This window comes from Homo sapiens, chromosome 19, assembly GCF_000001405.40.
Source record: "Homo sapiens chromosome 19, GRCh38.p14 Primary Assembly".
Lineage (NCBI taxonomy): Eukaryota > Metazoa > Chordata > Mammalia > Primates > Hominidae > Homo > Homo sapiens.
Genome location: NC_000019.10, coordinates 40,215,882 through 40,239,028, shown reverse-complemented (window position 1 = coordinate 40,239,028; position 23,147 = coordinate 40,215,882). Strand labels below are relative to the sequence as shown.

The 23,147-nt window shown below is 55.5% G+C and overlaps 3 protein-coding genes across 11 annotated transcripts in view, besides 5 other annotated features; all 3 read left to right on the top strand.

The window, feature by feature from the left end:
- The window catches only part of AKT2 (AKT serine/threonine kinase 2), a 55,029-nt gene extending 46,317 nt beyond the window's left edge, over positions 1-8,712 (top strand). For 3 of the 4 annotated variants that reach the window (NM_001243028.3, NM_001243027.3, NM_001626.6), the window contains 7 exons: positions 56-124; positions 938-1,060; positions 2,644-2,772; positions 2,925-3,139; positions 3,679-3,766; positions 3,882-3,984; positions 5,078-8,712. In NM_001243028.3, the coding sequence (NP_001229957.1) occupies positions 56-124; positions 938-1,060; positions 2,644-2,772; positions 2,925-3,139; positions 3,679-3,766; positions 3,882-3,984; positions 5,078-5,157 (807 nt within the window). In that variant the 3' untranslated portion in view covers positions 5,158-8,712. The remainder of the gene's footprint in view (positions 1-55; positions 125-937; positions 1,061-2,643; positions 2,773-2,924; positions 3,140-3,678; positions 3,767-3,881; positions 3,985-5,077) is intronic. The other variant, NM_001330511.1, reaches the window with a different exon arrangement.
- Positions 11,953-12,506: an enhancer, noted in NCBI's record as "H3K27ac-H3K4me1 hESC enhancer chr19:40732430-40732983 (GRCh37/hg19 assembly coordinates)". NCBI's record gives its function as "activates a minimal SCP1, AML or CMV promoter by ChIP-STARR-seq in naive H9 embryonic stem cells {active_cell/tissue: H9 hESC(naive)}" and the evidence as "EXISTENCE:reporter gene assay evidence [ECO:0000049][PMID:30033119]".
- Positions 12,340-16,821, top strand: CCNP (cyclin P). 5 transcript variants are annotated; one of them, NM_001411133.1, is made up of 6 exons: positions 12,340-12,654; positions 14,218-14,307; positions 14,386-14,541; positions 15,483-15,641; positions 15,726-15,877; positions 16,557-16,821. In NM_001411133.1, exons 1-6 carry the CDS (start codon positions 12,388-12,390, stop codon positions 16,720-16,722), a joined length of 990 nt encoding a protein of 329 aa, NP_001398062.1. In that variant the 5' UTR covers positions 12,340-12,387; the 3' UTR covers positions 16,723-16,821. The 5 variants fall into 5 exon arrangements, with proteins under 5 accessions (NP_001398062.1, NP_079153.2, XP_047295412.1 ...); NM_024877.4 differs by having other exon boundaries at positions 15,726-16,821; XM_047439456.1 differs by lacking the exons at positions 15,726-15,877; positions 16,557-16,821 and having other exon boundaries at positions 15,420-15,572.
- Positions 12,533-12,652: a silencer, noted in NCBI's record as "silent region_10618". NCBI's record gives its function as "represses an Ori minimal core promoter by ATAC-STARR-seq in GM12878 lymphoblastoid cells {active_cell/tissue: GM12878}" and the evidence as "EXISTENCE:reporter gene assay evidence [ECO:0000049][PMID:35858748]".
- Positions 14,011-15,210: an enhancer, noted in NCBI's record as "P300/CBP strongly-dependent group 1 enhancer chr19:40729726-40730925 (GRCh37/hg19 assembly coordinates)". NCBI's record gives its function as "activates an origin of replication core promoter dependent on BRD2, BRD4, P300/CBP, MED14 and CDK7 cofactors, with strong dependence on P300/CBP, by STARR-seq in HCT116 cells {active_cell/tissue: HCT116}" and the evidence as "EXISTENCE:reporter gene assay evidence [ECO:0000049][PMID:35650434]".
- Positions 18,409-19,608: an enhancer, noted in NCBI's record as "MED14-independent group 3 enhancer chr19:40725328-40726527 (GRCh37/hg19 assembly coordinates)". NCBI's record gives its function as "activates an origin of replication core promoter dependent on BRD2, BRD4, P300/CBP and CDK7 cofactors, and independent of MED14, by STARR-seq in HCT116 cells {active_cell/tissue: HCT116}" and the evidence as "EXISTENCE:reporter gene assay evidence [ECO:0000049][PMID:35650434]".
- On the top strand, positions 20,645-22,971 carry TTC9B (tetratricopeptide repeat domain 9B). 2 transcript variants are annotated; one of them, NM_152479.6, is made up of 3 exons: positions 20,645-21,074; positions 21,660-21,842; positions 22,757-22,971. In NM_152479.6, exons 1-3 carry the CDS (start codon positions 20,648-20,650, stop codon positions 22,864-22,866), a joined length of 720 nt encoding a protein of 239 aa, NP_689692.2. In that variant the 5' UTR covers positions 20,645-20,647; the 3' UTR covers positions 22,867-22,971. The 2 variants fall into 2 exon arrangements, with proteins under 2 accessions (NP_689692.2, XP_016881857.1); XM_017026368.2 differs by having other exon boundaries at positions 22,454-22,971.
- Positions 21,187-21,777: an enhancer, noted in NCBI's record as "H3K4me1 hESC enhancer chr19:40723159-40723749 (GRCh37/hg19 assembly coordinates)". NCBI's record gives its function as "activates a minimal SCP1, AML or CMV promoter by ChIP-STARR-seq in naive H9 embryonic stem cells {active_cell/tissue: H9 hESC(naive)}" and the evidence as "EXISTENCE:reporter gene assay evidence [ECO:0000049][PMID:30033119]".
- Positions 22,972-23,147: the final 176 nt, after the last annotated feature.

The window sequence follows — 23,147 nt, the reverse complement described above, 5'->3', positions numbered from 1 at the left end:
GCTCAGCAGAGCCCTCCTCCCTCCCACCTCCCACCCTGCTGCCTTCATCCCCCAGGCGCTGAAGTATGCCTTCCAGACCCACGACCGCCTGTGCTTTGTGATGGAGTATGCCAACGGGGGTGAGGTGAGCCGCGGCTGCCTTGACTTTGCCCTCTGGGGCCTCCTTCTTTAGGGTGGGGCGGGATGGAGAGGAGCTGTGGGTGAGATGGAAGGGTGGAGGGAAATTTCAGTGTCATCTAGTGCCCCTCTCCCTTGAGGCAGGCGGCTTCGTCTCCATTTTGGGGGGGCAGTCACTGAGGCTCAGAGAGGTTAAGTGGCTTGCCCAAGTTTACACAGCTAGTGAGTGGGTGGGTCAGGTCCAAACCAGTCCAGAGAGGTGTGGAGAGGGCTGTGGGGCGATAGCACTGGGAAGGATGGTCTTAAAGGCCCCAGAGAAAGCCCCCAAGGGTTAAAACCTAGCAGCCCTCCGTTCCCGTGTCCTCTCGAAGTGAATTCCCGCAGCCGCTCAGCTTCCCCTTACAGAGTCGCCTCACTTTTGTCACCCACTCCTTGCCTCGCGCCTTCTCTGTGCAGTGGTTGGCACACCTGCTTTGGGATGCGTGGTTTGCTCATCTGTCTGATCTGGGCTTGCCCATGGCCTATTGTTACTTGGTCATGACGTGTGCTTCTTTTTGCCTCCATGCCATCCTCCCTCCTGTCTCGGATGTCTCTCCCATACCCTCTCATGGGTGCCTCCTGGCAGACCCTCGCCCTTCCCCCCAGCTCTGTGTCACTTATGAGCTTCTGCGCTCTGCCTTGATTGGTCCCTCTAGCTGTCACTTGCTGGTTCATGATACAGGTGTCACCACATCACTGCGCTGGGGCAGGGGGCTGGGAAGGTGAGGGCAGGTGGGTGGGCTGGGGCCTGACCTCCTCTCCCCACCCCTTCCTCCTGCAGCTGTTCTTCCACCTGTCCCGGGAGCGTGTCTTCACAGAGGAGCGGGCCCGGTTTTATGGTGCAGAGATTGTCTCGGCTCTTGAGTACTTGCACTCGCGGGACGTGGTATACCGCGACATCAAGGTTAGTGGCAGGGTGTGCGCCAGGCTGACCTGTGGCATGCACACCACATGGGACTCACACTGGGGAAGTTGGGCTGAGCTTCTGCCCTCATTCGCCAGGCTCCCCACCAAGGTCCAGGGTGGTGGCTGCCCTCATTCGCCAGGCTCCCCACCAAGGTCCAGGGTGGTGGCTGCCCTCATTCACCAGGCTCCCCACCAAGGTCCAGGGTGGTGGCTCTGTGGCAAGTTGCCCCAAGTAGGGACCTTCCCAAGCCTCCCATGAGCGCTCCTAGGCCACTAGCGGAGTGTCAACTGCCACAATACCTACTTTATTTGTATTTATTTATTTATTTATTTTTGAGGAGTCTTACTCTGTTGAGTGCAGTGGTGTGATCTCGGCTCGCTGCAACCTCTGCCTCCCGGGTTCAAGCGATTGTCCTGCCTCAGCCTCCCGAATAGGTGGGATTACAGGTGCCCGCCACCATGCCCAGCTAATTTTTGTATTTTTAGTAGAGACGGGGTTTCATCATATTGGCCAGGCTGGTCTCAAACTCCTGACCTTGTGATCCACCCACCTCAGCCTCCCAAAGTGCTTGGATTACAGGCATGAGCCCCCGCGCCCGGCCAATTTTAGAAGATAGTTTGGCAGTGTCCACCAAAGCTGAGCACCAGTCATCTGCCCTAGCTGTGTGCACAGGAGAAGTGGGGACACACACTCACCTTAGAAAGTGTCCCCCTCACTCAGCAGCAGGACTTACTCTAGCCCCAACTGGAACAACCCAAGTATCCACTGTGAGAGGAACAGTCAGATCCACTGTGGAGTGTTCTCACAGTGGGACGCCACACAGCAGTTAGGAATGAGCTACAGCTACACACGACAGTGTGGACGCGTCTCATAGGCTAATGTCGAGGGAAAGCCGCACAGAGGAGGTGAGTCCACAGTTCACAGGTGTGTCTGTGTGCAGTGGTACAGATGGGAAGTAGAGGTTAATTCTTGTGGGGGATGGTCAGTAACCGGGAGGGGCACACAGGGCCTTCCAGGGGGAGATGCCACCTCAGCCTCGCAAGTAGCTGGGACTATAGGTGTGTGCCACCATGCCTGGCTAATTTTTTTTTTCATATTAAGAAATATGGAGATGGGGTCTCGCTGTGTTGCCCAGGCTGGTCTCAAACTCATGGGTTCAAGCAATCCTGCCACCTAAGTCCCCCAAATTGCTGGGATTACAGGTGTGAGCCACTTTGCCTGGCTGCATATTTCATAATTAAAGGACAGAAAGTCTAGAAAAAAAGAATAGAAGAAAGCTAGTGCCCCCACGTTCGAAATAAGAACCACAGTTCACAATGGGGACGGTGGGTGGACAGGGCCTGGCTCTCGGCTCTCCCTGCCCAGCTGTTCCCAGGTACCATGGGGGTGGGCCAGAGGGTGAGGAGGGTTGGATCTGGCCTCTCTCTGAGCCTCAGAGGGTGAGGCTGTGTGTGCTGGGCCCAGCCTGGCATGGGAGGGTTGATGTCCAGGAGCCCCGGGCATCTTTCCCTGGAAGGAAAGGCTGGGGTGGCAGGAAGCCTTGGGAGCATGCACCTGAGATCCGTTGACTTTTCCAACAGCTGGAAAACCTCATGCTGGACAAAGATGGCCACATCAAGATCACTGACTTTGGCCTCTGCAAAGAGGGCATCAGTGACGGGGCCACCATGAAAACCTTCTGTGGGACCCCGGAGTACCTGGCGCCTGAGGTGTCTGGGGTTGGTGGGGGTAGGAACGTGTGAGGCCAAGGGTAGGGGGATCCCCCAGACCTGTGTGTTTCCAGCCCAGATGCCCTGAGGGCAGGACTGTGATGCCAGCCTCAGGGCCACGGGCCCAGCCCTCATTTCTCCTCCATCCTCAGGTGCTGGAGGACAATGACTATGGCCGGGCCGTGGACTGGTGGGGGCTGGGTGTGGTCATGTACGAGATGATGTGCGGCCGCCTGCCCTTCTACAACCAGGACCACGAGCGCCTCTTCGAGCTCATCCTCATGGAAGAGATCCGCTTCCCGCGCACGCTCAGCCCCGAGGCCAAGTCCCTGCTTGCTGGGCTGCTTAAGAAGGACCCCAAGCAGAGGTGAGGGCTGGCGTCGGCCCCACCCAGCCCAGCGCCAGCTGCTGCCACTGTCCCTGCGGCCTGGAGGGGGCAGCGTCCACAAGGGTGCTCGCTTGTAGGGTCGCAGTGTGTCGTCCCCACACAGCCCCTGAAAACGTCCACAGTGGCACTTAGGGAGTGCTTCCCCCAGGGCAGGCCCATCCTTGACACTGCCTTATTTTATGGGGACACTGAGGAACAGGGCATCCCCTGGGCCTGGCTGGGGCCACCAAACCATATGTGGCAGAGCCAGGATAGGAACGGAGCCTGCCCTACTAACTCCCTTTCTGGACTCAGGGTAAGGCCAGGCAGTGAGGACACGTGGGTCCGGGTTGCTGACTCCCTGGCTCTGACCCTGGGCACGTGAGCTCCCTCCCTGAGCCTCGGTTTCCTCCTCTGTGAAGTGGTTTGTGGTCAAGACAGAATCATTAAGGGCCATACAGGGCCTGCCTGCTCCGAAAGCCCGTCTGCCCGAACCCAGCTGCTCCGGGAGGCAGGTGCTGACGGCCGTCTCTGCACAGGCTTGGTGGGGGGCCCAGCGATGCCAAGGAGGTCATGGAGCACAGGTTCTTCCTCAGCATCAACTGGCAGGACGTGGTCCAGAAGAAGGTGAGCCCCACTGCTTGCCCCAGCAGGACCCTCAGGGACCTGGCCCACTCGTGGTGACCTTGGTTGAGGCCTCCTGGCCTCAGGGTCCCTGAGCCTGAGCTCCTCTCCTCCGTAGCTCCTGCCACCCTTCAAACCTCAGGTCACGTCCGAGGTCGACACAAGGTACTTCGATGATGAATTTACCGCCCAGTCCATCACAATCACACCCCCTGACCGCTGTGAGTGCCTGGGGCCCCCGCGCTGGTGTGCCTGCCCCAGGGGTGGAGGGATGGGATCTGCTCTTAACTCACTTCTCAAGGAGGGCCCTCGAAGGCCCCCGCTTCATGTCTGGGAGATTTCCCCAAGTCTGCTCTCAGGCCCTTTTGCTGTTGGTCCTCTTTGGACCTGGTGAGGCCACCAGGAGCCATTGACTGCAGCACGTTCTGGAGCTCAGTCGGGGGGCTCAGGGCAGGAGGCAGCCCGGTCCCTGAGCCTGGCTGGGTTCACTGCTTTACAGCTGTTTGGGTTCTTACTCTGAACTCAGCCCAGGGCTGGGCTATGCTGGGGACACAGCACTGATTGAGCCAGCCCTGGGCCCTGCCCTGGAAAGCTCCCAGCCCAGGTAGGGTGGGCGGCCTGGAGTGGTCAGGGCTAGGGCGTGGGAGGCCAGGGACTGGGGAATCCCAGAGGAAATATCCGACCTGGCCTGCAGTTAGGGAGGGCTTTCTAGAGGAGGAAGCAAACGTGTCAGCTGGCCGGAGGAATGACGTGTGGGATGCCAGCAATGGGAGAAGCATGGCATAGCTAAGGACCGGCAGCAGCCAGGGAGATGGTGGTGAGAAGAGAGGGCATGGGGCTGGAGTGCAAGGGTCTGGGGGCCACTGGGAGGGGTGGGGACTGCTTGCATGGCGGGAGCCAGCCATGGAAGGGTTTCATACAGAGAGGGACAGGGTTAAAGCAGGCCTTTAGAAAGCCCCCCTGGCTGCCCGTGGAGAATGGATGGGAGGGTGCGAGAGGCAGGCCAGGACAGGGCTCTGGGCTGGACTCTGGCATGGTGGTGTGTGGGGCAGAGAGAAGGTGGGAGGCTCAGAAGGCCCTGCCAGCTGTGGGGCGCATGGGCAAGGGCACAGGAAACTCCCAGAGGAGGCCGCCCGGGGCTCAGGTTTGGGGAGTGGGTCCGTGGCTGAGGGCCTCCATTGCGGAGGGATGGGCCTTTCCTGTCCTGTCCTGTGGGCAGCCCCCGCCAGCTGGGGCCGTTTCCCCAGGGAGTCTGGGCAGGTGTCCCAGGCCCTCTCCTGACTGGTCCTCCCCATCCACCTCTGCCGCCCACAGATGACAGCCTGGGCTTACTGGAGCTGGACCAGCGGACCCACTTCCCCCAGTTCTCCTACTCGGCCAGCATCCGCGAGTGAGCAGTCTGCCCACGCAGAGGACGCACGCTCGCTGCCATCACCGCTGGGTGGTTTTTTCCCCCTAACTTTTTACTTAGCCTTTTTGGTTTGTGTCCCCACCCCCACCTCCTCACCCCCTTTCCAGTTCTTCTTCAGGCCCCTCCCAGACGCACCCCAGCGGCCCCTGCAGCCCCTGCCTCCAGCCTCCAGCCTCACCTTTGTGCCCAGACTCGCATTTGGAAGACTCCACCTCCCGCCCAGGCCTGGGCTGTTGGGCGGTTGGAGATTCAGGTTTTAATCCACACAAGCCCCAGTGAGGGGTGAAGCATGGCGCCTGGGGCCTGCCTGAGTTTCTGGCCTGGGTGTCGTGCTGGTGTCTGCCTCCGCGCTGCTGCATCTGGACGAAGGCTGCCTTCTGGTGGGACGCGACACCCGGCAGACAGTGGTGCTGCCTTCCAGGCCCCGTGGCCTAGGCTCGGAGTGGCCAGGCACGGGGCGGTCCAATCCCCCACCCGCTGTCCCCCTATGGGGGCAGAAAAGCAATAATGTCCAGGGGCAGGCAGGGGCCCTTGGGAGCTGCAGGGCTGGGGGTTAGGGCTGCTCCCTGGTGAATGGAGTCAGATCCTAGGATCTGTACCATGGGGAACCAGGAGTGGCCGGGCTGGGTGCCGCCTCCTGGTCCGGCCTCCTCCCCACCAAACTGTCCTCACCCTATGGATGAGGCAGGAGGAACATTTGGGGCCAAACCTGCCTGCCTCCCAGCCCCGTGCCTTACTAGGGCTTCCTTCCAGCTGGCCTTACCTCCCGCTGGACCCTGGGCCTGGCCTGGCCCCACTGGGGGCTATGGGCTGGGCTCACCCTCTCCTCTGCGGGGGTGGAGGGCCACCAGCCTTGGCTGTTACAATCTTACACCGGACAGTATTGGGCCCCATGGACTTGGTCAGGGAGGGGTGGGGGTGGGCATCTCTGGTACCTATTGGGGTGGGGGGCCTCTGAAAAGGGAGGCTCCTAGGCCCCCCTCACCCCTCCCTCTCCCCAGGGCCCCACGTTCTGCAGCCTTAAGGTTGAACATGAGTGCACGTCCATGTCAGTGCTGTGGGACTCCTGTGCGTGCCTCGGACTGCGTGTGTCGGCGGGACGCAGGCACACGTGGGTGTGTGTGCATGTGTGTTTGTGTGAGGGCAGCGTGTCCTCCAGTGTGCATGGTGTGTGGGCTTGGGCCCCATCCCTGGCCCGAGCATTTCATCCTGTGGGGGAGGGGTGCTGACCTAGTGGGAGGAGCCCCACTGTGATCCATGAGCTGCCCTGCCCACGCCTCCCCTCCCTGTAGCAACACCTCTGGGTGTTTGGAGTTTAGCTTTTGTGGGTTTGCTCTCCCTATCCCATCTCCTGTACTACACAGTTCATGGCAGGGTGGGGAGGGGTGGGGTTGGTTCGGGTGGGTGAGGGTCTTTTTCCTCTGTGTGCGATGTTGTTATCTGACAGTTCTCCGTCCCTACTGGCCTTTCTCCTCGTCTTCATATTTGTACGGTACAAGCAATAAAGACACTCATTTCAGACCAGGGCCCAGCCTGCACTCACGCCAGCCCAACCACTCTGGGCTTTGCCTTGGTGATGGAGTCAGACCCCTGGGCCCCAGCTCCTCCTGTACTAGCCGTTCCCTTCAGCAAGGAGGGCACTGAGCTCAGGGTGAGGGCAGCTGGGGTGTGTGCAGGAGCTCAGGCTGGAGAGGGTGGGTGGAGCTGGTGCTGTGGGGCTGAGGGGTATGGGAAGGCTCCCCGCATGTGGGGGTGGGGTGGACAGAGACCACTCCAGGCCCTCAGTGCTGCTTAGGCTAAGAGAGGTGGGGTGGAGGGACAGGGCTGGAAGATCTGGGTAGCCCAGAATGAGGAGGGTGCCTGTGCTGTCACTGAATGAGAGGGAGTGGTTCATTCCACCCGGCTGCCGAGCCTCAGAGGGGGGCATTCCTATCCTGCCCCACCTCCCTGTTTATGCTGCCACCTGGAAGCCTTGAGGCCCCCAAATTCCAGTACAGACCCAGTGGTGTGTTCATGGTGGCGTGGTTGCTGTCACCTGGGAGCTCCTGAGCGTTTGGTTAGAACCCTGTTCAGCTTGGGGTCAGCCCTCCCCTAGTCACTGCCCTTTAGCCTGGATGTGTCTGGGCCCCTGCACTTCCCGTGCTTGAGTCACGTGGCTGCATGGCCGGGCGCTGGCCGGATGGAACACCTCCCCCAGCAAGGGACCAGGGACCAGAGCCCTGGCCTGCCCTGCTGAGCCCTGCTGTGCAGAGGGCCTGGCACAGATGAATTTGAGATTTTGCCGCAAGGTGTTAGCACTTCACACCCATTGAGTCTTTGAGATTTTAAGTGAATGTAAGCAGAAAAAGTCAGATCCAATTTACAGAAATCAGAGTTAGCTACAGCTAGGACTCGTTTGGTTGGGGTTTTTTAGTTTGTCTTTCTAAAGTCATGTGGACCTTAATTTAATTACAAAAGTCTACCCTGGTGGTCATAAAATAGGCAGGCCTATGAAGAAAGGCCTTTTACTCTTCCATCTCGTCCCAGCCCCGAGTTGACCCACGTTGCTGCTCCTCACACCATGGTGATGCAGGTCTCGTAGTGTGGGCACAGGCCTGGCTACCTCATCTTTTTAGTGCCTCTCTCCTCTTCCACAGGATGGGGTCCCACAGCTGCAGCAGCTGGCCCCGTAGTTGAGCATGTGTGGTTATCCTGTAGAGCTTTTCCCAAGAAGGGTGTTTGAACTTAGAGTCTTAATAAAATCTTACCAAATAAATTTTGAGTAGAATAATCGTCTTTTGCAATGTACATTTTAAAAATTTCACACATTCTTTTTTGTATATAAAGAACAGTGACTGGGCACAGTGGCTCATGCCTGTAATCCCAGCAATTTGGGAGGCCGAGGCGGGCGGGTCTCTTGAGGCCAGGGGTTCGAGACCAGCCTGGGCATCATAGGGAGACCTTCATCTCTACAAAAAATACAAAAATTAGCTGGGCATGGTGGTGCATGCCTGCAATCCCAGCTAACTTGGAAGGCTGAGGTGAGGTGGGAAGATCACTTGAGCCCAGGAGTTTGAGGCTGCAGTGAGCTATGATTGCGGCACTGCACTGCAGCCTGGGACAATGAGACTGTGTCTCTAAAAATAAAAAAAAAAAAAACATGATACATGCTATTAAAAAAGACAGCAAAGCAGGAGTATAAGAAAGGAAATTCACCCGAGGTCGCAGGGCCTTGAGTACTCATTTTGGTGCTGATTACCTCTCTGCAAATGGACACGGCATCATAAATTGGTAGTTTCCTGCTCTTTTTGTGTAATCTTTTCCAGTTAATGTGAAGCCTCTGGGGGCTGCCCTCGTGCACTGATGGTTGTGTGGAGTCGGGGGCGGCAGTGCGATTCCCTTTTAGCTGCTGCATGGGGGGAACTCAGGCTTTCCAGCTGCTTCCTGGGGTTCCATGGGGTAGACCCCTCAACCGCTTCAGCTGCCCCGTTAACAGGAATTGACTTGGTTTCGTTTGGTGCTACCAGCAGTCCTGTAATAAACTAGCTATCCATCTGTACTGTGCTGGTGCTTTTGTTTGTCTACATCCCAGGATTTTAATGTCCAGTACCTTTCCAAAAAAGTGTAGCCATTCAGATACTTTAAATTTTGAAATAATTGCAGACTTGCAGAAAACTTTCAAAAATAGTGCTGTACTAAGATTATTCCAGGCCTGGGGCAGGAAATGTACAAGATGAGCCTGGGGCATCTTGCAGTGCCTGAAAGCACGCACTGATATGCTTAAGTCACAGGGACACAGGAGCCAACAGAAAGCTTCCAGTGGCCAAAGCTGAAAAGAATTTGAACAACAAAATAAATAGCATAATATTGGGTTTTCACCTAAAATGTGAAATAAGTCTATTGCTAAGTGGCAAAATGGGGAGAATATGCAAATCTACACAAAATCATAAGTAATTTCTGTAGACAGCCTTCAAGGAGGGCTATGGAACCCCCACTTCTTAGGCGTGGGCTGCAGTGACTCCTCCAAAGAGTGCAGTGTGGAGAGGGGGAAAAGTAACTTTTCAGTGAAGGTCCCTGGCAAACACTACATCATCCAGCCAATCGAGGCAAACACTGCTGATGAATCACCTTCACAGTGTCCCTTTAATGTGATAGAATGGCACTTTCCCTCTGATCCTCCTCTTGCAGACACACACCACCTCACTGAGAGGAAGCAGACATCAGACAGATCTCAGTTGAGGGATTTGTCTGCCAAGGTGGTTAATCAGAAAATTCTGAGAAAGTGACACATCCAAGATCAACCAAAAGAGTCATGGTGACTAAATGTAATGTTTCCTGAAATAGAAAAAGAACGTAGGGAAAAAGGAAGGCTTGAATAAAGCATGGACTTAATAGATGAATATTGGTCTAACGGATTGTGACAAATGGGGCACACTAATATGAGATGTTCATTGGGGAAATTGGGTGTGGGGTAGGTGGGAACTGTCAATCTATTCAAAAAAGTTATGTAGAAGAATTACAAAATATACCCTTCGCCAGGTTCGTCATAGCATTTTACTTAAAACGGACAAAAATGGGATCAGAATGTTAAATTCACCCCTCCACCTCCCGCTCCACATTGTATACCTGTCCTAAAGAACATTCTGCTACATAACTGCTCTCCAGTTACCAAGGTCAGGAAGCTAACATTGAAACTGCTCTTCTGTACAGATTTTATAGTGTTCGCTAATGGTCACGCTTAATGTCCTTGTATGTTAAAAATTCCTAGCTAATGACCAGGCTCACATGTTGCATTCAGTTGGCAGGTGTGAAACTCACAGGGCAGTTATTTTGCAGTTATTTTCCCTCAACCAGGGTTGGTTGCCTCACTTTTTTTTTTTCTCTTTTTTTTAAGACGGAGTCTCACTCTATCGCCCAGGCTGGAGTGCCATGGTGCGATATTGGCTCTCTGCAACCTCTGCCTCCAGGGTTCAAGTGATTCTCCTGTCTCAGCCTCACCAGTAGCTGAGATTACAGGCACCCACCACCACACCCAGCTAATTTTTGTATTTTTAGTAGAGACAGGGTTTCACTATGTTGGCCAGGCTGGTCTCGAACTTACCTCAAGTGATCTGCCTGCCTCACCTTCCCAAAGTGCTGGGATTACAGGCGTGAGCCACTGCGCCTGGCCTAAAAGATATATATATATATATATATTTTTTTTTAAAGCTACTTACGTCTCTCCATTTGCCCGCAAGGAAATTCCTTGTGGACAGAAGACAGGCAGAGTTCAAAGTCATCCCTGTGCTCACATGAGACCAATGCATATCTGATGGCTTCCTCCGTCCTATTGTTTGACCCAGACTAGGCATGGATGGCTCTTCCTGTAAATTGTGCATTCAGTAAAAGGCTAATCAAACTCAAAAGAATGCAGCCGTTTGTCTCCTGTCTATGACCTGGAAGCCCCCTCCCCTGCTTCGAGTTGTCTTGCCTTTCCGGACCGAACCAATGTACAGCTTACACATATTGAGGACGTCTCATGTCTCCATAAAACGTATAAAACCAAGCTGTGCCCCGAATACCTCCTGAGGCCGTGTCACACGCACACCCTTAACTTTGGCAAAATAAGCTTTCTAAATTGATTGACACCTATCTCAGATACCTTTTGGTTTACACAGTTAATAAACATCTTGTGTAGAGACATTTTGTAGATATCCCGATTCCTATCAGATGTTCACCCACTAGTTTGAACATCTATTGATATTTCTTGCATGAAACGATGCTGTGGTGGTTGCCAAATAGGATTTTCCAACCTTCTACATTATTAGTTCGGCCAGTCATGGCGGCCCACACCTGTAATCCTAGCACTTTGGGAAGCCAAGGTGGGAGGATTCCTTGAACCCAGGAGTTCAAAACCAGCCTAGGCAACAAAGTGATACCCCAGTCTCTACAGAAAAATTTAAAAATTAGCCAAGCATGATGGCGCACACCTGTAGTCCTAGCTACTTGGGAGGCTGAGATGGGAGGATCACTTGAGCCTAGGAGGTTGAGGCTGCAGTGAGCCGTGTTCACACCACTGCACTCCAGCCTGGGTGACAGAGCGAGACCCTGTCTGAAAACAAAACACATTTATTAGTTCACTTTCTAAAGATTAGAAGAGCTTTTCTTTCCCACTGCCTGAGTTATATCAGAATAAACTTGTATTTTAATTTTATTCAGTGGTTTGTGATCTATGACTATCATCTTGATGCTCACATTTTCTAGATTTAGCTAGTGACTTCTGCATCTATGTGACTTGCCCTGCTGTTGGGACACTTTCTGCCACACAAAAATATTCCAGATCTTGTACCTTCTCTTGTATGACCCTGGGATCAGCCATTTCTCCAGGTAGCCCTGGTTCCTTTTAGTGGAGAATGGGATGTGGCGGCCAGGGTTTGGATGTTAGGGGTGCTTCTCACTATTGGGGTGTCGCTGCTCTTAAGCTCTCCCAGTGGATTAAGCTAGGAAATACATGTTTGCATACACACCACTTTTTAAAAAAAATTTTTTTTTTTTTGAGACGGAGTCTCGCTCTGTCGCCCAAGCTGGAGTACAGTGGCCCAATCTCGCTCACTGCAAGTTCCGCCTCCAGGGTTCATGCCATTCTCCTGCCTCAGCCTCCTGAGTAGCTGGGACTACAGGCTCCCGGCACCACGCCCAGCTAACTTTTTGTATTTTTAGTGGAGATGGGGTTTCACAGTGTTAGCCAGGATGGTCTCCATCTCCTGACCTCGTGATCCGCCCGCCTCGGCCTCCCAAAGTGCTGGGATTACAGGAGTGAGCCACCACACCCGGCCACACAACACTTAACTTCTATGTAAACAACCATGTGTTCACACAATTTTATCTCCAATTCCATTGCGACACCGACACCACAAGGGTCATTCTAACCTCCGATCTATGTTTGTACATCCATCCTCTGACGGTGCAAACCCTGATTCTACATTTTGAAATCATCCCGACTTTATGGTCAGGAAAGCGAGGCCCAGAGGGGCTGCTTCCGGGCAGCAGGATGAGGATCTGTCTCCAGCTGTCCGACCTTAGAGGGCTTCGAGAGGACAGAGCCAGCCTGCGGGGCACTCACCTTTGTGCACCTGCCCGGGCGAGGCGGGCTCAGTGCGCACGCGCCCAGGGGCCTTTAAAGCGCCCGCCGCGCGTCTCTTCCCCTAGCTGCAAGGGTCGGTGCTTGGCCTCGCCCGCAACACCCTCCTGGAGGATGCTGGTGAGAGGCAGGGACCAGGGGTCCGGCTCCCGGCTCGGGCCTATCGTTAGGCGCTGGGCCCCCAGGCCCTCTCCTTTGCAGAGTCTCGCTGCCTCCCTCGACGCAGAGCCTTCAAGCGCCGCAGTCCCCGACGGCTTCCCCGCGGGCCCCACTGTCTCCCCAAGACGCCTGGCGAGGCCGCCGGGGCTGGAGGAGGCGCTGAGCGCGCTGGGGCTGCAGGGAGAACGCGAGTACGCCGGGGACATCTTCGCCGAAGTCATGGTGAGCCTACCCGCCGCCTGCCCTGGTGAGGGCGACGCCGGCCCACCGCCCGGCACCCACTCAACACCACTCTGAACTCCCACCGCTCCAGCCTCTCCTCCCTATCACTGGCAGCCGGCGTTCCTTCCCTGCAACGTCCAGGCTTTTGTTTTGTTTTCACACAGCGCCGTTTCTACCGCTGGGAATGCCCTTTCCCACCGTCCCCGGGCTCTTTGCAGTCCCTCCTGGGGTGTTTATGGTCCCCTGTACTTGTCCTCCACATTTATTTGTTTAACAAATATTTAATGGTTTAGTAGCAAATGTTTTAGGTGCTGGAGATGCTGCAATGCTGGCCTCGTTCTGGGGAGATGAGCAAACACATAGAACAACTAGGGAAAGGCCACGCAAACCAAAACATTGGCCTCGCCAGCCTTCAGATATCCCTATGAGAGGGTTGCTGCGGAAGGAAGACTGAAGGGAGGAGTTTGTTGAACGTCTTGCCTGCGACTCTCCTGGGCCAGGATCTCTGTTAGGACCTGAGAGACACTTGTGTTGTGGGCAGAAGTCCCTGCCCTCGTGGGACTGGCAGCCTAGCGGCCAAATAGACAAAGCACACAGGGAGACATCTTCACAGTGAAAATGCTGAGACAAAGAGATAGTGATCGGGTGGTAGGAGTATAGACAAAGTCATGGAGATGTTAGCTGAATGACGGAAAGGTCGAGTAAGGGGCTGGGGAAGGACCCTCTCTGTAGAGGAAACAGGAAGTGCAAAGGGCCTGGGGTAGGAATGGGCTTGGTATAGTCTAGGAGCTAAAAAGAAGGCAGCTGTGGCTGACGCATGGGTTGTGGGGAGAGAGAGGGAAGAGGTGATGCTGGAGCAGAGCCTGAAAGAAATCAGAGTTTTCTCCAAGGGTACTGGGAGCCATGGAAGGGTTTTAAGCTGGGGAGTTCCTTGGTCAGATCTTTCTTTGGGAAGATGCTTCTGGGTGCTCTGAGGCAGAGGGGTTGAGGATTCGTGGTCAAGAGTTGAAGTCTGAGGCCGGGTGCAGTGGCTCATACCTGTAATCCCAGCACTTTGGGAGGCTGAGGTGGGCGGATCACCTGAGGTCAGGAGTTCAAGACCAGTCTGGTCAACATGGTGAAACCCCGTCTCTACAAAAATATAAAAATTAGCCGGGCATGGTGCCACATGCCTGTAATCCCAGCTACTAGGGAGGCTGAGGCGGGAGAATCGCTTGAACCCAGGAGGCGGATGTTGCAGTGAGCCAAGATTGCGCCATTGCACTCCAGCCTGGGCAACAGAGTGACTTTGTCTCAAAAAAAAAAAAAAAAAGTGAAGTCTGGGAACCTAGAGGGAGACGCCCAGGAGTCCACGTGGCGGAGAGGTGGGTATGGAGGCATCTGGAACGAAGCCCAGAGTTCTAGGTGAGGACACGTAAGAGGAGCTCATTTGGAGGCCAGTTTGGGTGTGGCATGCCTAAGATGTCCAACTGACTGGAGGAGGCTGCTGCATCCAGGGCTGGAGCTCAGGAGAAAGGCAGAGGCACAGGTGTGGAGAGTGAAGCGTCCCTGCCCCAACCCCAGGTGTGCCGCGTGCTGCCCCTGAGAGCCCTGCCCCGCGCTGTGACCCCGGAGATGCGCGCCCTGGTGGTAGACTGGCTGGTCCAGGTGCACGTAGGTATCTGGAAGGGTGTGGGGGGCTGAGTTTGCGTCGCCGCCCAGGACCCCGTGGTCACCCTTGCCCCTCCTCAGGAGTACCTGGGTCTGGCTGGTGACACACTTTATCTGGCGGTTCACCTGCTTGATTCCTACCTGAGCGCTGGCCGCGTGCGTCTACATCGCCTGCAGCTGCTGGGCGTGGCTTGCCTGTTTGTGGCGTGCAAAATGGAAGAGTGCGTGCTTCCCGAGGTACTTCCGGGGTGGGGTTTGGGAGGGTGGATGGAGTCCTTTGGGGAGTAACTGATTCAGTGACTACTGTGTGCCAAGCACCGTGCTGAGTCTGGGATTCCCAACATGTATGAGGGAGGGGCTGTCAATGTGTCCCTTAAACAGAAGAGGAGACCGAGGCTCAGAGAGAGGAAGACATTTGCCCCAAATCAAGCAGTTGGAACTTGGACTCAGTCTAGAATAGTCTGTCTTAAGGCTGGGGGTGGTGGCTCACGCCTGTAATCTCAGCACCTTGGAAGGCTGAAACCGGCAGATCACTTGAGATCAGGAGTTTGAGACCAGCCTGACCAACATGGTGAAACCCTGTCTCTACTAAAAATATAAAAATTAGCCAGGTGTGGTGGTGCACGCCTGTAGGCCCAGCTACTCAGGAGGCTGAAGTAGGATAATTGCTTGAACCCAGGAGGCGGAGGTTGCTGTGAGGTGAGATCGCGCTACTGCACTCCAAAAAAACAAACAACAACAACAAAAAAAAACAAAACAAATCACTTTGGGGAGCCAAGGTGACCTCGTCTCTAATTTAGAAAAGTAAATAAAAATAATATAAACTAGTCCATCTTGAATAGTTACCGTCAACATGCATGAATTCAGTGCCTTATCAGAACTGCCTGGTGAAGCAGGGAGTAGTATCTGTTTTACGGGGGGCGGGGGGTAGCTGAGGCAGAGAGCTTAAGTGAATGTCCTATGTCACACAGTGAGCAGATGATGGGGTTTGAACTCGAACCTAGGTCTTGAACCCAGGACCCTCAAGCCCGTGCTCTCTACGACTTCCAGACACAAGTCAATGGCCCCATTTTACACACCAGGAAACTGAGGTCCGGAACTTGGGGCCTTTCCAGGGCAGGGAGTAAAGAGCCCGGATCCAAGACTCCTTCACCTCCCCCCGCATCCCCCATCTGCAGCCCGCCTTCCTCTGCCTCCTGAGCGCGGACTCCTTCTCACGGGCGGAGCTGCTGCGCGCCGAGCGTCGCATCCTGAGCCGCCTGGATTTCCGGCTGCACCACCCCGGCCCGCTGCTGTGCCTCGGGCTGCTGGCCGCGCTGGCAGGGAGCAGCCCCCAGGTGAGCCCTTGTGAATACGCGGGGTGGGGGCGTGGCCGGCGCGAAGTGGGGCGTGGCCTGACAGTCGCCCCGCCTCACTTGCAGGTGATGTTACTTGCCACCTACTTCCTGGAGCTGTCTTTGCTGGAGGCCGAGGCGGCGGGATGGGAGCCGGGTCGTCGTGCGGCTGCGGCTCTGAGCCTGGCGCACCGCTTGCTCGACGGGGCGGGCTCCAGGCTCCAGCCAGAACTTTACAGGTGTAGTCTTGGCGGAGGAAGTGTATGGGGTCACCGCAGCTTCAGGGACTTACCTTCCTGGTCATTTTTACGGTCTCGGAGAATGAGAGACAATTATTGAGGAGGAGGTGGCACCTAGACTTGATTTTTCTGGGTGTGGGAGAGAATGGGGTGGGAGGACCCCATTAGTCCAGATCTGGGGTCTCTTAACCTTGCCCCAGAGTGGAAGATAGTCTCCCAGGCCCAGAAGATGCTCCTATTGCCTTCCAGGGCTGAGAACGAAGGATCACCCAGGCCTCGAGTCCTCCATCTCTGTATCTGGTGGTGGATGGGGTGTTCCTTTAGCTGCTAGGGCCGCTAACCATGCTACCAGGTGGCAGGGCGAACCATGGTTTCCCTCAGCCTGTGCACCCAGCATAGAGAGGATGGCTGCCCATCCTCAGCTCCCCTCCTTGCTTCCTCGAGTGTTCTGACTCCGCACTAGCCGCGCCCTGTAGGAAGAATAGGGTGTCCACCTCTCCCCGGTGCTCGCCTAGTCACTCCAGTTGAAGACGGGACGCGTGCCCGATCTCAAGAGAGCCCCCGACCCGTCCGTGGGGAACCACATCGACGCTTCTTCTCAGCCTCCAGTCTCCAGTTCCAAGGATGGGTCATCTCCAACCACTTGCCCTGCCTCAGTTTCTCCATCTCCCTGCTGCAGCCCCGAGGAACTGGGCACCCTCGAGCCGTGCATGGCCCGCGCTGCGCTCCGAGGTCCCGCGCCGGGTCGCGCCGCAGTCTTCCTCAAGTATGCGCGGCCCCAGCGCCAGGGGACCAGCCTTGCCGCCGCCTGCCTGCTCCGCCGCCTCCAGTCTGAGCCTCCCTGAGTACTGGGACTCAGTCACAAAAAAATCAACAACAAAAAACAAAACCCTCCCAGTGTGTGTCCGTCTCTCATCTCAATAAAAGAATTTATTTTATTCTGAGCGCTCTCTGCCCTCATTGGTCGAATTCCGGTCCCCTCTCGCTTTTGATTGGTCGCTTTCTAGGCCTCGCATCCCTCTGATTGGATGTGCTCACCACTTCCTTTAATGGTTGCTGGGAGATAAAATGCAAATTCTGAACTCCTCCACCAGGGGGCAATGGCGGGCTTCCCCAAGAGTCATTCAGCGGGATAAAACTGGGATCCCTTAAGGACTGGCAAAAAATCACAAGAGATGGGGACTGTGGGGGAGTTGAGAATGCCCATCCCGGTCAGAAGAAATGCTACCTCGATGTTGCCGGATTTTCAGATCTTATTCAAGTAAACCTGAGATTCTGCAATTCCATATCTGCGTTTAGATGTCAACTAATTCAGTCTTTCTGTTTTTGTTGTTGTTTTAGACGGAGTTTCGTTCTTGTTGCCCAGGCTGCTGGAGTGCAATGGCGCGGTCTCGGCTCACTGCAAACTCCGCCTCCCGGGTTCAAATGATTCTCTTGCCTCAGCTTCCCAAATAGCTGGGATTACAGGCTCCTGCCACCACGCCCGGCTAATTTTTGTATTTTTAGTAGAGACATGTTTCACCATGTTGGCCAGGCTGGTCTCGAACTCCTAACCTCAGGTGATCCTCCCGCCTCGGCCTCCCAAAGTGCTGGGATTACAGGCTTGAGCCACCGTACCCGGCCTAATTCAATATTTCTTAATGGTTGTACAAGCCCAACACATCACATATACTGGGCTATGAAGATAGGTTCTCCCAAGCCTGGAAGATGCTCTGCGAAGGTCATCAGTTTGTAGTAGTAAGTCCTGGATAGTAAGAGTTTTATCAATGGGGTCTGATATACTTAACCTGGGAAGTGCCCAGGTGTCAGTGGGGATAATTATGGTACCAACCTCCTGACACTGTGGTGAGGATGTGAGTTAAAATATACGTAAAGCAGCCAGGTGCGATGGCTCAAGTCTATAATCCCAGCACTCTGGGAGACCGAGGCGGGCGGATCACGAGGTCAGGAGTTTGGGACCGGCCTGGTCAACATAGTGAAACCCCGTCTCTACTAAAAATGCAACAAATTAGCTGGGTGTGGTGGCGGGCTTCTATAATCCGAGCTACTCAGGAGGCTGATGCAAGAAAATCGCTTGAACCCGGAAGGTGGATGTTGCCGTGAGCCGAGGTCACGTCATTGCACTCCAGCCCCGGCGACAGTGCAAGACTCCATCTCAAAATAAATAATAAAAAATAAATAAAAGGGAAAGCTCTTTATGACAATGTCTGACACCTAGGAGGTGTTGTAAAAGTGTTAGCATTGCATCCCAGCAGGACTGTGATTTTAGGTACAGTTGTCCTGTGCTACTGTGCCTGGGTACCTAGGCATTTACTTCGTCAGAAAACATGGTTATGAATCAACGGATCTCCTTTTTTTTTTATTTTTTTTTTTGAGACAGGGTCTCACTCTGTCATCATTCAGGTTGGAGTGCAGTGGTGTGATCTCAGCTCACTGCAACTTCCACCTCTTGGGTTCAAGCAATCCTCCCGCCTCAGCCTTCCAAGTGGTGCACGCCACCACCCCTGGCTAATTTTTTGTATTTTTGGTAGAGACAAGGTTTTGCCATGTTGCCCAGGCTGGTCTCGAACTCCTGAATTCAGGTGATCCACTTGCCCCGGCCTTCCAAAGTCCTGGGATTACAGGTGTGAGTCACTGCGCCCAGCCAGATCTCTGTGTTTTTCATTACAAAACAGACACACCGGAGGTAGGGAAAGGTGTGTGCACTGCTCAAGAACTCAAATTCATGAGTTTTACACTCCTAACTGAGCCTGGGTTTGGAGATGCAGAGAGGAAAATGTTTGCACCCCTGAGGTGTTCAAGGCTGGACCCCAGGGATAAGGGAGAAACTCACTCAGCAAAAGCGTTTTACAGCAAAGTACAATAAGAGATAGAGGCAGATGCTCTGGTTGAGATGGAAGGTGCTGAGTTCTGGTTTCTGTCTGTCACATGTGACCTGCCATGGGACCTCCAGCTAGAGGATGTGCTGTGGGGGTGGAGTTGGGGAGAGTGGGGAGGCCTGGGGCTGAGACCCAAGCTAGAGTCTCAGAGGAGGGGGAGGAGTAGTAATGCATAATGCCATTCACTCACACACTCATTCATTCAACAACTATATATGGATGCTGACTCAGAGCCAGGCACTCATGATCACATGACTCAGAGTCTAATGGACGATAAGAAACACCAGTTGTTAATTGCCCATTAATGTATGAAGCCCTGTGCTAAGTGCCTTACCTGCATAAGATAATTCAGTCTCTGCAACCGCTCTGAGGTTAACTTGCCTTCTATCCTCATGTCGCACAGACGAAGCCGAAGGAGGAGGATCGAGGAACTTGGCCCAGGTCCCACAGCTAAGGAGGCGGCAAAGGAGGACTGAAGGGCAGTTGACTCATTCATCCTCGATTTTTTTCTTGAAAGCCTCCTGCATGCTTCCTTTCCTGGGGACTTGTTTGCCCTCTCACTTGTTTTCCCCCATAGACAGCCGAGCTGGATGAGGGCAAGAAGGAGATCTCTCTTGTTTTTAGAGTTATTCCCTCCTCCAGGAAGACTTTATCACCACCTCAGCCCAGGGCAGGTACCTCCCACATCCCAGCCCCGACCCCTCTGCCTGTGCCTCTTCCACCTCGGCCCCGACCCCTCTGCCTGTGCTTCCCAGGCTAGCCTGCTCAGGGCTGTCACTGTCTGGTCACTGGTCTGTCTTCCCACTGAACTGGGGCCCAGTGAGAGTAGGGTCTGAAGCTCACGCAGTGTCTGCTATGTCCCAGCATCATCCAGCACAGAGCTGGGCACAGAAAGGATGTCAGTGAATATTTGTTTCATAAATTAACAGATGAATCCCAAAGGTGGTATTATTTTTAATTCCTTTCCTTTCCTTTTTTCTCTTTCCTCTTTCCCCTTTCCCCTTTCCTTTCCTTTCCTTTCCTTTCCTTTCCTTTCCTTTCCTTTCCTTTCCTTTCCTTTCCTTTCCTTTTTTGAGACGGCATCTCCCTCTGTCACCCAGGCTGGAGTGCAGTGGCACAATCTCGGCTCACTGCAACCTCTGCCTCCCAGGTTCAAGTGATTCTCCTGCCTCAGTCTCCCGAGTAGCTGGGACTACAGGTGCACGCCACCACACCAGGCTAATTTTTGTGTATATATACAAAAATTTTGTATATATTGTATATTAGTAGAGACGGAGTTTTGCCATATTGGCCAGGCTGGTCTCAAACTTCTGACCTCAAGCGATCCATCCACCTCGACCTCCCAAAGTGCTGGGATTACAGGCGTGAGCCACCTCGACTGGCCCTAAAGGTGATATTATTGTGCCATGTTACTGATGAGGATACAGAGTTCCAGGTAGTTTAAGCGAGCTGTCTAAGTCATACCACTAGTGAGAAAGTAAGCAGGGATTTGAATTTGGGAAGCTTGGGTCCAAATCCTGTGTTCTCATTCGATATGCCAAATGGCCAGTGGGCTGAGAGCCAGCTTTCCGTGAGGCTGATGTCTTCCTGCTCTTTCCCCCAGGCTCGTCCTTTCCTTCTAGAAATCTTCGGGAGCTTTGGGCACCGGGGAGGAGAGCAGGCAGGAGGTTGGGGAGGGTAAGGGGAATGGGAACAATTCGGGGGGCGGGCTGGAGAACTAGGACTTGGTTAATTTGAGAGTGAGCATGGGGGAAGTCTCGAGGGGTTTCCCTAGACCCATAGGGGGCAGCCGGAGTCGGCTGCCGGAGGTGAGGGGGCGGAGAAAGGGTGGGGACCAGCCCCGCGGGGGGCGATGCGGTAGCTGCAGCGGCGGCGGCAGGAGTTTCCCACAATGCAGCGCGGCGCGCTGTCCCCGGTGCTGATGCTCAGCGCTGCCCCGGAGCCTCCGCCGCGCCCGCCTCCCGCCCTCTCCCCACCGGGCTCGGGCCCAGGCTCGGGCTCCCGCCATGGCTCGGCTCGTCCCGGTCCTACCCCAGAGCCGTCGGGGAGCCTGGGCGCGGCGCTCGACAGCAGCCTGCGTGCCGCCGTGGCGTTCAAGGCAGAGGGCCAGCGCTGCTATCGAGAGAAGAAGTTCCGGGAGGCCATCGGCAAGTACCACCGAGCGCTGCTGCAGCTGAAGGCGGCGCAGGGGGCCCGCCCTAGCGGCCTGCCCGCCCCCGCCCCCGGGCCCACCAGCAGCCCCGGGCCGGCGCGCCTCAGCGAGGAGCAGCGGCGCCTGGTGGAGAGCACGGAGGTGGAGTGTTACGACTCCCTCACGGGTACGCCGTCGGGGGGTGGGGGGATGGGGCACGAGGGGAGGGGGCAATCGGGAGAGCTTGGCGACTTGGGGGCCAGGGGCCCTGGGGCTGAAGGGTCCAGGGCTGTGGGCTTCTGGGGGAGCCTTCAGAGCTTGATCAAGGAAAGGGATTAGGGGTAGGGGATGACAGGGGTCTGTGGCTGGAGGGAGCTGGGATGCAGGAAATGGTCTTTGGGTCGGGTATTCAGGGCCTCGCTTCCCCTGAGTCATTCTTTCCACCCCCTGGCCGCACGTGGACCCAAGGTGAGGAAGTCTGCCCTGAGCCAGGCTCTCGAGGTCCCGGCCCTCGCCCCCGCGCGGGGCCTTAGTGCTCTTGCCCACCGACAGCTCTGGGTGGATCGCCCAGTGGCGCCTGTCCGTGTTTTGGCGCCCCCTAGCAGCGGCGCAGTTGCGCCTGTTTCGATAGGCGAGCGGATTGGCGCCCCTGGTTGCCGGAGCAATCCCTTAGGCCTGGTTCCCTGCCGCCTGGAGCCTCGGCTCCTCGCAGTCAGGTGGGTTCTGGGGGTGCCAGCAGGCTCTGAGAGTGCCGGCCGCGGGGCCCTCGCAGCTTGCCTGCTGCAGTCGGAGCTGGTAAACTACGAGCGCGTGCGCGAGTACTGTCTCAAGGTACTGGAGAAGCAGCAGGGCAACTTCAAGGCCACCTACCGTGCCGGCATTGCCTTCTACCACCTGGGCGACTACGCACGCGCGCTGCGCTACCTGCAGGAGGCCCGCAGCCGGGAACCCACAGGTGAGTGGCGGGGCGGGGCAGAGGTGAGGGCTGGGCCCAGGGCGGGGAAAGGGGCTGCAGCGGAGGGAACAGGCAGGAAGATCAGGGCAGAATAGCAGAGCCCTCCTCCCGCGGAGCTGCTTCTAGGTAGGGCTGCGCCACCCACCTACTCCCTACACGCCCACTCATCCATTCATCCACCCCGCCCTTCACCCGCCATTCAAACATCCGTCCACCTATCGCTCCTCTGACATCTCCCCGGCCATTTCTCATCTACCGTCATTGCCACATCTGATATCTCCTATTCACCTGCTCAGTCACTTCCCTATCCACCCACTGTCATCTCCATTACCCCGTCCCACCCCTGCCTACCGCACACACTCATTCCTCCACTCACCCATTCACGCACACCTATTCATTCACTTCCTGCACCATCCACTCATCCACTCGGGTGGACGATGCCAGGAAATTGGGGTGTGTGTGTGTGTGCGTGCATGTGTGCACTTACACACATGAGTGCAGGAGGGCAGACACAACACTCAGTTTTGTATTAAGAGCCAATGAAGAAGGAAGAGGGATTACAACAGGTGCAGGGTTGTGGGAGCCGAGACGAGATTAGTTTTCCTGTTAAGTGGCTCGGAGAGAACAGACTTCTTGCAGATGTCGCTGGAGGATGAGAAGTGTGACGGGAGCCTCTGCGAAGAGGCATTCCTGGCAGAGGGTGCCGCAAATACAGGCGCACAGAGGTGTGCGATGGCTCCGCTGTGACTGGGGACTGCCGACTGTGACTGGGGCTTTGGGGAAGGGCTCTGGCTCTACTGGCTGTGTGAGCGAGCTGCTGGATACTTCGGAGAATGGGGTGTGAGCCAGGGAGGTGTGGAAGTCACCTGCTGCCCCGGGACACCCAGATGATGCCCTGCCCACCTCCCCTGCAGACACCAATGTGCTCCGCTACATCCAGCTGACTCAGCTGAAGATGAATCGTTGCAGCCTCCAGCGGGAAGACAGTGGGGCTGGGTCCCAGACTCGGGATGTAATTGGCTGAGGCCAATCCAGGGGGACCTCTCTATCCCTCGCCCTCCCACCTCACCATGTAACTTCCCCCGACTCATGTGTTTGTTGGTAAAACACTTGTCACTGGTGATCATAACTTGTGTGGTGTTCTTGGGGGGACCAGGGAGGGCCTCATCCCTTGGACCTTAGAAACCCAGAGAAGCCCAGGGAGGGTGTGTGGGGTCGGGGGGAATGTTCCACTGGGATGACCCAGCATCAGGGCCTGGGCCAGGGAAAGAAACAGTCTAGGCCAGGCGCAGTGGCTCACGCCTG